The sequence below is a fragment of the Homo sapiens genome, chromosome 2 (assembly GCF_000001405.40).
Source record: "Homo sapiens chromosome 2, GRCh38.p14 Primary Assembly".
Classification (NCBI taxonomy): Eukaryota; Metazoa; Chordata; class Mammalia; order Primates; family Hominidae; genus Homo; species Homo sapiens.
The window spans coordinates 118956610-118968627 of record NC_000002.12 but is presented as its reverse complement, the minus strand read 5'-3'; the positions used below and the strand labels follow the sequence as shown (position 1 = coordinate 118968627).

General features: G+C 37.4%; 1 protein-coding gene across 4 annotated transcripts in view; it reads right to left on the bottom strand.

Annotated features, from left to right (window-relative positions):
* MARCO (macrophage receptor with collagenous structure) overlaps nucleotides 1-12018 on the bottom strand; it is a 52467-nt gene that overhangs the window by 26033 nt on the left and 14416 nt on the right. The gene's annotated exons all lie outside the window — the stretch shown is intronic.

The window sequence follows — 12018 nt, the reverse complement described above, 5'->3', positions numbered from 1 at the left end:
TCAAATAATGTACAGGGCATGACAAGGGTTAATAATCATCCCTCAACCCCCTAAGGTCCTAACCCGATGAGATAATCTCTATTAGCACTCTGGGGTGTGGTCTTCCTCCCATCCCTCCTGTCCAGAAATCCTACAAACCCATATAGTCTGAGAAAGCCTTTTTTTCTTTTAATCTTACAAATGATATCATAGTACATAAAATACCACACATTGCTTTTCACAGTGAAAGATTTTCGTGGACATTTTCCTAGTTTTCTTTGTAGAGAGAGATTAGCTGCCTAATACTCCTTAGAGACAAAAGCCACAGTTCATGCTAACATTTCCCTTTTAATGAGCTGTTTCCAGTTTGCGACATTACAAAAGAGGCTGTAATATTTCTTGCCTGGAAGTCCTGACTCTAGTCTTTCGTCAGCTGTTACTCTGTCTTGTTTAGGGGTATTAAAGGGAGGGCCCCAGACTGCAGAAGGCCCTGCAGTTCCTACTGCTCACATTAAATGAGCACCTATTCCACACCAGGCATTTACCAACATCATCTCTAACCATTGCAGCAACCCTGCAAGGTAGGCATGGTTACACTCCTTTACAGAGGAGAGAGCTGGGGTTAAAAAGTTAAGGTGGCAGGTGACACAGCAGGCATATGACCCCAGGTTGGTCTAGCTTCAAGGCCTGAGCTTGCCTCACTAGCCTGCACTGACCACTGCCCCTAGGAAAGATCCAGTTGAAATGGGCCCCAAGGGCACATCTGAAAGGGAAACAGACAATAATGAAGGAGCCCAAGGGAATGTGTGCCCAACCATGTTTGCTTTTGTGATAGGGGCAGGTGGGTTTTAACTATTGTGACAGATGCACTTAAACCTCAGATCTTTTCCTATCACCTGCAGCTCCTGTGTTTACCCTGCTGATATTCCTTCCAACCCCCGCACAGCAGGGACCCCTGCTTGAGAAATGCCCAGATGAACAATGGTCTAGGGGTAGCTCTGGCAGCACAGAGAGGAGTGGTTTTGTTGGTGGGTTGGTTGTTTAGCTAGTGGTACTCGATTATACTCAGTTTAGCATGGAGTGCCCCGTCTCCTCTGCACCCTACCCCCCAGAATCCAGGCTCACACAGCAGCCTGAGTGAGCCCCACAACACATAACCTGCCCAAGTCATTCCCTGCTCTCAGCCCTTCAGTGGGGGCTCACTGCTCCCAACCTGGCACCTGAAGCCCGTCTGGCCAGCTCTCCTATGGCTGCAGTTCCATGTCACACCTCCACATGGATCCTGACCAATGGCCAGGCCAGATGACAACTGGTGGCATTCTTCTGACTTGGGGCAATGTGTGTCCCCTGAATACTGGCTCTCCTCCTTCCCTTTCACAAGACTAATTTCTGCTCATCCTTCGGAAGTTCAGTAGAGCCCGTCCTGCTTCAGGACACCTTCTCTGGTTCCTCTGGGCTGGGTGGAACCCCCCTTGGCTCTCCCACATCACTCTGTTTCTCTCTGCCATAGCACTGATCACCCTGGATTGTGTTTTTGTCTCTGTCTCCCCAAATGGCCTGGAAGCTCTTTGAGCTGTATTCCAGCACCAACGTGGTATCTGGCACACAACATGCTGGGAAGATGATGACTGAATAGATGAATGAATGAGTGGCTACAGAGGTTTGGGTGCTGAACATGTGCAGAGTTAGAAGTGTTGAAAGAACATCAGGAATGCAACTCAGGGCCTCAGGTATTCATGCAACCGTCATGATGAAGACAAATAACACACGAGGGGAGCCTCACATTTAACACGAGGTGGTGGATGGCAAATTGGCAAATACAGTGTCATGGACAGCACTGTTTTTGGACAGCACTAAATTTTATGAAACAAACATCATGGGAATGGAAAGGTAAATTGTGCTTCAGAGACACAGGTATTACAGAAGTCAGAGGCTGGAGCAAGCATGGAAAATACAGATATTTTGAAACCATATGGTCAGAGCGTGGTGGAAGGCATGTGAGTAAGGATACAATGAGAAAAAATAAGGTATGGTAATACTGTGACAGTAGTTCATGGATAGCCATCCAGGCCCAGAATGCTTTTTAAATTCAGAGCTACCACCTGGCATAGAGGCAAAGTATTTTAGAAACTGGGAATGTTGAGCCTGTAGACCTATATAACTCATTCTGTACAAAATGGAGGGTCTGATGAAGTCTTTAGCCTCTACACTGTTCATTTCATCTCTTAGAGGGTAGAAGAAACTATAAAGAAAACACCTATTCTGGATCAGGTTTGACCAAAGAGGAAGAGCTGCTTGACATGAGAGGATAAAAACAGCTGCTAGTAAATAAAAATGGGCTTCCCTGGAGTAAACCTTGATGAGTATGGGCAAAGATTTTAGGCAAGCAGGTTTCAGAAATTTGACAGCTCTATTGTCTGGCCCACAATGAAAACATAGCTCAGGAGGGAAATAAAAATAATTTTTCAAGTCTGTAAAAGATCCCAGTGAAGAAAAAAAGCCTGCACACAAATTCTAGTCTTTCCAGGTCTGCCACCTCCTGGGGTAGCAGGCAGTGCTGGTAGGGTGTCCTCCTCCAGGTCTGCCACCTCCTGGGGTAGCAGGCAGTGCTGGTAGGGTGTCCTCCTCCCGTGCTATAACACTAGTGGACATTGAGCAGGTGTCCTCACTCTACCCTAGCACTGGGCTGCCTGGTGAGCAGACCCAGAGAAGTAATGTCTTCCCTTTGGGCCTGATGTATCTCACTTCCTACCTGATAGCACCAGGCAGTACTGGAACGTGCCTTCTGCCTTGCAGGAAGGACCAGCAGGGGACCAGCAAGAACTAATGGCACCAGGTAAACAAAGTGGATCAAAATAACGTGGACAGGGCTCTGAAAACTAAATTGTCATTGTACCATAGCCCACACAAGTAGGCCAGAACCTACATAATAAACCTAAACTGTGTGACTCTGTGACTGTCTACTAAAATAGAAGTTTTAAATAGGACTCAGAATCTCCTAACATACTATACAAAACATCCATTATATAATGGAAAATCACCCATCATACAAAGAATAGAGAAAATCACAACTCAGATGAGAGGAGACAATCAAGAGATACCAGCATTGAGATGACACAGATGTTAAAACTATTCCACAAGAATTTTAAAGCAGCTGTAACAAAATGCCTTAGTGAGCAATTAAAACTATTCTTGAAACAAATTTTTTAAAAGCTCACCAAAATAGTACAACATATAAAAAAAGAACCAAATGGAAACTATAGAACTAAAAAAATACCAATGAAAGAAAAAAGACTTGGTAGATGAGCTGAATAGTGTAATAGATGTGACAGAGGAAAGAATCAGTTAACTCGATGATAGAACAATAGAAATTACACGTCTGAAAAACAGAAAATCAGCTGGGAAAACAAACAAACACACATGAACAGAGCCTCAGAGACCTGTGGGCCAGTAACAAAACACCTACAATTCATATCATTTAATTCCTAGAAAAAGTGTGAGGCTTAAAAAATATTCAAAGAAATAATGGCTAAAAATTTCCCTAATTTCGTGGAAGATCTAAACCTACAGATTAAAGAAACTGCCAAAATCGCAAACATGATAAACTCAAAGAAATCCATATCAAGACACATCATAACTAAAACATTGAAAACATAAAAAGGCAGAGAAAATTAAACATCTAAGGAAAAAGGAAAAATCTAGAAAGCAGCCAGAGACAAATGGCACATTACTTATAAAGGAATACTTTTTTTTTTTTTTTTGAGATGGTATCTCACTCTGTCGCCCAGGCTGGAGTGTACTGGCATGATCTCTGCTCGCTTCAACCTCCATCTCCTGGGTTCAGGTGATTCTTGTGCCTCAGCCTCCCAAGTAGTTGTGATTACAGGTGCACGCCACCATGCCCGGCTAATTTTTATATTTTTAGTAGAGACAGGGTTTCACTATGATGTCCAGGCTGGTCTTGAATTCCTGACCTCAAGAGATCCGCCCACCTCAGCCTCCCAAAATGCTGGGATTACAGGCATGAGCCACTGTGCCTGGCCAGGAATACCAATTTGAATGACAGAAAGTTTCTCATCAGAAACTATGGAGAACAGATGTAAGTGGTACAGCTTATTTTGTGTTCTGAAAAAGAAGAATTGTCAACCAGGAATTATATTGCCAATAAAAATACACTGTGGGAATGGACAAGAAATAAAGACACTCTCAGAGGAAGAGAAATGAAGAGAATCTTTTACTGGCAGAACTAACTTTAAAGAATGACTAGAGGAGGTTCCCCTAACAGAAAGGAAATGATATAGTAAACTAGAATTTCAAAAAAGAAAGAGAATAATAGAACAAGTAAAAATAGGGATATATACTACAGCATCCTTCTCCTCATGAGTTTTAAAAATCACATTTGATTTTTAACACAAAAATTATACCACCTGATGTGGTGTTCAGTGAATGTAATAGAAAATGACAATTATATTTAAAAAGTGGAGAAGGCTAAAGAACATAAATGAAAGTAAGATTTCTACACTTGACTCAAAATGGTAAAATGTTGATATGTTCTGTATGTATATTGCAATAGCCAGGCTGCGATAAGTTCCATATGTATATTGCAATAAGTAGAGAAACCATTAAGAAAACTATTCAATAAAAAACACTATAAATAAATCAAAATGGAATTCTAAAAATTATTCAAATAATCCACAGGAAGGCAAGAAAAGAGAAATACATGAATGGGAAACAAAGAAAAAACAGAAAACACACAATAAGATGGCCAATTTAAGCACTGACATATCAATAATTACTTTCGGTATAAATGGTCTAAATCAGAGGACGGATATTGCCAAACTGTATTAAAAAACATAATCCAACAATGTGCTATAAATAAGAAATCAAACAATAGAACTTCAAAATACATGAAGCAAAAACTGATTTAACTGAAAAAAGAAATAGACAATACACAATTATAGTTGAGACTTTAACACGTAGTTTCAGCAATTGATAGAAACTCTGCAAAGTTACAGAAGAACTAAACACTAGCACTACTGACTGATAGTATCTAATGAACACACAGAATACTCCAGGTAGCAACAGCAGAATGTACATCCTTTTCAAGGACACATGGAACATACACCAAAATAGATGATATCCTAGGTCATAAAACAAATTTCAACCAAATGAAAAAAAACCAAGGTCATACAGAATACCTTATTTGCCAATAATACAATAAAAATAAAAATCAACAATGGATAGGCAACAGGAAAATCTCCAAACATTTGGAACATTTAAAAAAGGACTTCTATATAATGCATGGGTCATTAAGAAAGCATCAAAAAAATTTTAAAAATACAAATGAAAGGAAATGAAAATACAATATATTAAAATTTATGGGATAAAAAAAAGCAGCTCTGAAAAGAAAATTTATAGCACGAACTGCTTACACCAAAAATAAAAAAGGCCTCCAATCAACACACTAAGTTTTTTCCTCAAGAAATTAGAAAAGAACAAAATAACTCCTAATCACCAGAAAAGGAAATAATAAAGATAAGAATATAAATAAATAAAATTTAAAATAGGAAGATAGAGAAAAATCAATGAAACAAAAGCTAGCTCTTTGAACAAAGTCAATAAAATTGGCAAATCTCTAGCAAGACTGAACAAAAATAAAAATGAAAGAAGACACGGATAGCCAATATCAGAAATGAAACAGGTGCTATCACTACAGATCCTGCAGCCATTAAAAAGAAAATAAGAAAATACTATCACTAACTTTATGCTCACAATTTAAAGGAAATAGGCTAGTTCCTGAAAAGCCACAAACTACCAAAACTCAGCCAAGGTGAAATAGATAATCTGAATATCTATAATCATTAAATAAATCTAAATTTTAATTTAAAAGCTCCCAGAAAAGAAATATTCAGGCCCAGATAGTTTTACCAGCATATCGTAATAAACATTTAAAGAAGAGTTAGCATCAGTTTTACACAATCTCTTACAGAAAAGGAAGAAACACTTTCTAATTCATTTTATGAGATCAGAATGATCCTAATATGAAAATCAAAGATAGTCCAGTAAAAAGAAAGAAAGAAACAAACAAAACTATTTCATGAACTTTGACACAAAAATCTTCAGTAAAAGGCAAGCAGAGAACAAAATTGTGAATGAACTTCCATTCACAATTGCTACAGAGAATAAAATACCTAGGAATACAGTTAATAGAGGACGTGAAGGACCTCTTCAAGGAGAACTACAAACTGCTGCTCAAGGAAATCAGAGAGGACGTGAACAAATGGAAAAACATTTCATACTCATAAATAGGAAGAATCAACATCATGAAAATGACCATACTGCCCAAAGTAATTTATAGATTCAACACATTTCCCATTAAACTACCACTGACATTCTTCACAGAATTAGAAGAAACTATCTCAAAATTATACAGAACCAAAAAAGAGCTTGTATATCCAAGAAAATCCTAAGCAAAAAGAACAGAGCTGGAGGCATCACACTACCAGACTTCAAACTATTCTACAAGTCTACAGTAACCAAAACAGCATAGTACTGGTACAAAAACAGACACATAGACTAATGGAACAGAATAGACAACTCAGCAATAAGACCGCACGTCTACGAGCATCTGATCTTCAACAAACCTGACAAAAACAAGCAATGGGGAAAGGATCTCCTATTCAATAAATGGTTCTGGGAAAACTGGCTAGCCATATGCAGAAAACTGAAACTGGATCCCTTTCTTACATCTTATACAAAAATTAACTCAAGATGGATTAAAGACTTAAATGTAAAACCCAAAACTATAAAAACCCTGGAAGAAAATCTAGGCAATACCATTCAGGACATAGGCATGGGCAAAGATTTCATGAGGAAATTGCCAAAAGCAACTGCAACAAAAGCAAAAATTGACAAATGGGATCTAATTAAACTAAAGAGCTTTTGCACAGCAAAAGACACTATCATCAGAGTGAACAGGCAACCTACAGAGTGAGAGAAAATTTTTTGCGATCTATCCATCTGACAAAGGTCTAATATTCAGAATCTGCAAGGAACTTGAACAAATTTACAAGAAAAAAAAACAACCTCATTAAAAAGTGAATAAGGGACATGAACAGACACTTCTCAAAAGAAGACATTCATGTAGCCAACATACGCAAGAAAAGAAAGTTCAACATCACTGATCATTAGAGAAATGAAAATCAAAACCACAATGAGATACCATCTCACATCAGTCAGAATGGGGATTATTAAAAAGTCAAGAAACAGCAGATGCTGGTGAGGTTCCAGAGAAATAGGAACACTTTTACACTGTTGGTGGGAATGTAAATTAGTTCAACCATTGTGGAAGACAGTGTGGTGTTTCCTCAAAGATCTAGAACCAGAAATACCATTTGACCCAGCAATCCTATTACAAACCATTCTATTATAAAGATATATGGCACATGTATGTTCATTGCAGCACTCTTCACAATAACAAAGACATGGAATCAACCCAAACGTCCATCAATGATAGACTGGATAAAGAAAATGTGGTACATTTACTCCAGGGAATACTGTGCAGCCATGAAAAGGAATGAGATCGTGTCCTTTGCAGTGACATGGATGGAGCTGGAAGCCATTATCCTCAGAAAACTAATGTAGGAACAGAAAACCAAACACTGCATGTTCTCACTTATATGTGGGAGCTGAACAATGAGAACACGTGGACACAAGGAGGGGAACAACACACACTGGGGCCAGTCAGGGGGTGGGGGTATAGGGAGAGCATTAGGAATAATAGCTCATGCATTCTGAGCTTAATATCTAGGTGATGGGTTGACGGGTGCAGCAAACCACCATGGCATACATTTACCTGTGTAACAAACCTGCACATTCTGCACATGTACTCTGGAACTTAAAATAGAAATAAAAATTTCAAAAAAAACTTGCATAAAAAAGTTAGTAAATAATATCAAGCAATATATTTAAAAAATTATATGCCACAACAAAGTGGGATTTATTCCAGATATGCAAGGATGGTTCAATGTTTTAAACTTAATCAATATATTCCACCAGATCAGCAAGCTAAAGAAGAAAAACCATAAAATTAGTGCAGAAAAAGCACTTGCCAAAATCCAATTCATAGTAAAACTCTCATCATTATAATTCAAAACTATGACTCATAACAAATAATAAACTCACAATAAAAATTCTTAGCAAACTAGAAATAGAGGAGAACTTCCTCAACTTAAAAAACTGCATCTACAAACTATCTAAAGCTAACATCATACTTAATGGTGAAAGACAGGACACTTTTCCCTTAAGATTCGAAACAAGGCAAGGATATATGTTCTTGCCTTCTTATTCAACATAGCACTGGGAAGTTCTAGCCAGAGCAGTAAGGCAAGAAAAAGAAATAAAAGGCATACAGTTTGGAAAGAAAGAAATTAAAATGTTCTTATTTGTAGAGTACATGACCATCTACATAAACCATTCCACAAAATCTACAAAAAAAGTTTTATTTTTATTTATTATTATTATTATTATTTTATTTTATTTTTCCATAAGTTATTGGGGTATAGGTTGTATTTGGTTACATGAGGAAGTTGTTTAGTGGTGATATGTGAGATTTTGGTGCACCCATCACCCAAGCAGTATACATTGCCCTGTATTTGTAGTCTTTTATCCGTCACCACCCTCCCACTCTTCCCTCCAAGTCCCCAAAGTCCACTATATCATTCTTATGCCTTCATGGCTTAGCTCCCTCATATCAGTGATAACATATGATGTTTCGTTTTCCATTCCTGAGTTACTTCACTTAGAATAATAGTCTCCAATCTCATCCAGGTCACTGAAAATGCTGTTAATTCATTCCTTTTTATGGCTGAGTAGTATTCCATCATATATACACCACAGTTTCTTTATCCACTTGTTGGGGTTCCATGATTTTGCAATTGTGAATTGTGCTGCTATAAACATGCATGTGCAAGTATCTTTTTCAAACAGTGACTTCTTTTCCTCTGGGTAGATACCCAGTAGTAGGATTGCTGGATCAAATGGTATTTCTACTTTTACTTCTTTAAGGAATCTCCACACTGTTTTCCATAGCAGCTGTCCTAGTTTACATTCCTACCAGCAGTGTAGAAGTGTTCCCTGATCACCACATCCATGCCAACATCTGTGGTTTTTTTGATTTTTTTTATTATGGCCATTCTTGCAGGAGTAAGGTAGTATCACACTGTGGTTTTGATTTGCATTTCCCTGATCATTAGTGATGTTGAGCATTTTTTCACATGTCACTTGGCCATTTGTACATCTTCTTTTGAGAATTGTTTTTTCATATCCTTAGCCCACTTTTTGATGGAATTTTTTTTCTTACTGATTTGTTTGAGTTTGTTGTAGATTCTGGACATTAATCCTTTGTCCGATGTATAGATTTGTGAAGATTTTCTCCCACTCTGTGGGTTGTCTGTTTACTCTGCTGACTGTTCCTTTTGCCGTGCAAAAGCTCTTTAGTTTAATTAGGTCCCAGCTATTTATCTTTGTTTTTATTGCATTTACTTTTGGGTTCTTGGTCATGAAATCTTTGCTTAAGCCAATGTCTAGAAGGGTTTTCCCAATGTTATCTTCTATAATGTTTACAGTTTCAGGTCTTTGGTTTAAGTCCTTAATCCATCTTGAGTTGATTTTTGTACAAGGTGAGAGAGGAGGATCAAGTTTCATTCTCCTATATGTGGCTAGCCAATTATCCCAGCACCATTTGTTGAAAAGGGTGTCCTTTCCCCACTTTATATTTTTGTTTGCTTTAAGTATTTGGGTTTATTTCTGGGTTCTCTGTTCTTTTCCATTGGTCTATGTGCTATTTTTTATACTGGTACCACACTGTTTTGGTGACTGTGGCCTTATAGTATAGTTTGAAATCAGATAGTGTGATGCCTCCAAATTTGTTCTTTTTGCTTAGTCTTGTTTTGGCTATGCCTTCTCTTTTTTGGTTCCATATGAATTTTAGAATTGTTTTTTCTAACTCTGTGAAGAATGATGGTGGTATTTTGATGGGGATTGCATCGAATTTGTAGATTGCTTTTGGCAGTACGATTATTTTCACATTATTGTTTCTACCCATCCATGAGCATGGGATGTGTTTCCATTTGTTTGTGTCATCTATGATTCTTTCAGCAGTGTTTTGTAATTTTCTTTGAAGAGGTCTTTTGACTCCTTTGTTAGGTATCTTCCTAAGTATTGTATTTTTTTTTTTTTTTGCAGCTATTGCAAAAGTGATTGAGTTCCTGATTTGATTCTCTGATTGGTCACTGTTGGTGTAAGGAAGAGCTATTGATTTGCATACATTAATCTTGTATCCAGAAACTTTGCTGAATTCTTTTATCAGTTCTAGGAGCTTTCTGGAGGAGCCCTTAAGGTTTTCAAAGTAAGCAGTCATATCATCAGCAAAAAGGGACAGTTTGATTTCCTCTTTACCAATTTGGATGCCCTTTTTTTTTAATCTTGTCTGATTGCTCTGGCTAGGACTTTCAGCACTATGTTGAAGAGGAGTGGTGAGAGTGAGCATCCTTATCTTGTTCCCGTTCTCAGAGGGAATGCTTTCAATTTTTCCCCATTCAGTATTATGTTGTCTGTGGGTTTGTCATAGATGGCCTTTATTACATTAAGGTATATCCCTTGTATGCTGATTTTACTGAGGGTTTTAATCATAAAGGGATGCTGGATTTTATTGAATGCTTTTTCTGCATCTATTGAAATGATCATGTGATTTTTGTTTTTAATTCTGTTTATGTGGTGTATCAAATTTATTGACCTGGGAATGTTAAACCATCCCTGCACCCCTGCTATGAAACCCACTTGATCCATGGTGGATTATCTTTATGATATCCACCATAACTAGTATTTTGTTAAGGATTTTCACATCTATGTTCATCAAGGATACTGGTCTGTAGTTTTCTTTTTTGGTTGTGTCCTTTCCTGGTTTTGGTGTTAGGGTAATGAAGGCTTCATAGAATGAATTAGGGAGGGTTCCTTCTTTCTCTGTCTTGTGGAATAGTGTCAAAAGGATTGGTACCTTAGTATTCTTCTTTTAATGTCTGATAGAATTCTGCTGTGAATCTGTCTGGTCCTGGACTGTTTGTTTGTTTGTTTGTTTTTGGGGGGTAATTTTTAAATTACCAAACAATCTCGCTGCTTGCTATTGGTCTGTTCAGGGTATCTAATTCTTCCTGATTTAAGCTAGGAACGTTGTATTTTTCCAGGAATTTATCCATCTCTTCTAGGTTTTCTAGTTTATGTGAGTAAAGGTATTATTCATAGTAGCCTTGAATGATCTTTTGTATTTCAATGGTGTCAGTTGTAATATATCCTGTTTTATTTCTTAGTGAGGTTATTTGGTTTTTCTCTCTTCTTTCCTTCGTTTATCTTGTTAACGGTCTATCAATTTTGTTTATATTTTAAAGAACCAGCTTTTTGTTTCATTTATCTTTTGTATTTTTTTGTTTCAATTTTATTTAGTTCTGCTCTGATCTTGGTTACTTCCTTTCTTCTGCTGGGTTTGCGTTTGGTTTGTTCTTGTTTCTCTAGTTCCTTGAGGTGTGACCTTAGATTGTCTGTGCTCTTTCAGACTTTTTGATGTAGATCTTTAGGAGTATGAACTTTCCTCTTAGCAACACCTTAGCTGTATCCTAGAGGTTTTGATAGGTTGTGTCATTATTGTCATTCAGTTCAAAGAATTTTTAAATTTCCATCTTGATATCATTTTTGACCCAATCCTCATTCAGTAGCAGGTTATTTAATTTCCATGTATTTGCATGGCTTTGAAGGTTCCTTTTGGAATTGATTTCCAGTTTTATTCCACTGTGGTCTGAGAGAATGCTTGATATAATTTCAATTTTCTTAAATTTATTGAGGGTCATTTTATGGCCTATCATATGGTCTCTCTTGGAGAAAGTTCCATGCACTGTTGAATAGAATGTGTATTCTTTGGTTGTTGGATGAAATGTTCTGTATATATCTGCTAAGTCCATTTGCTCAAAGGTATAGTTTAAATCCATT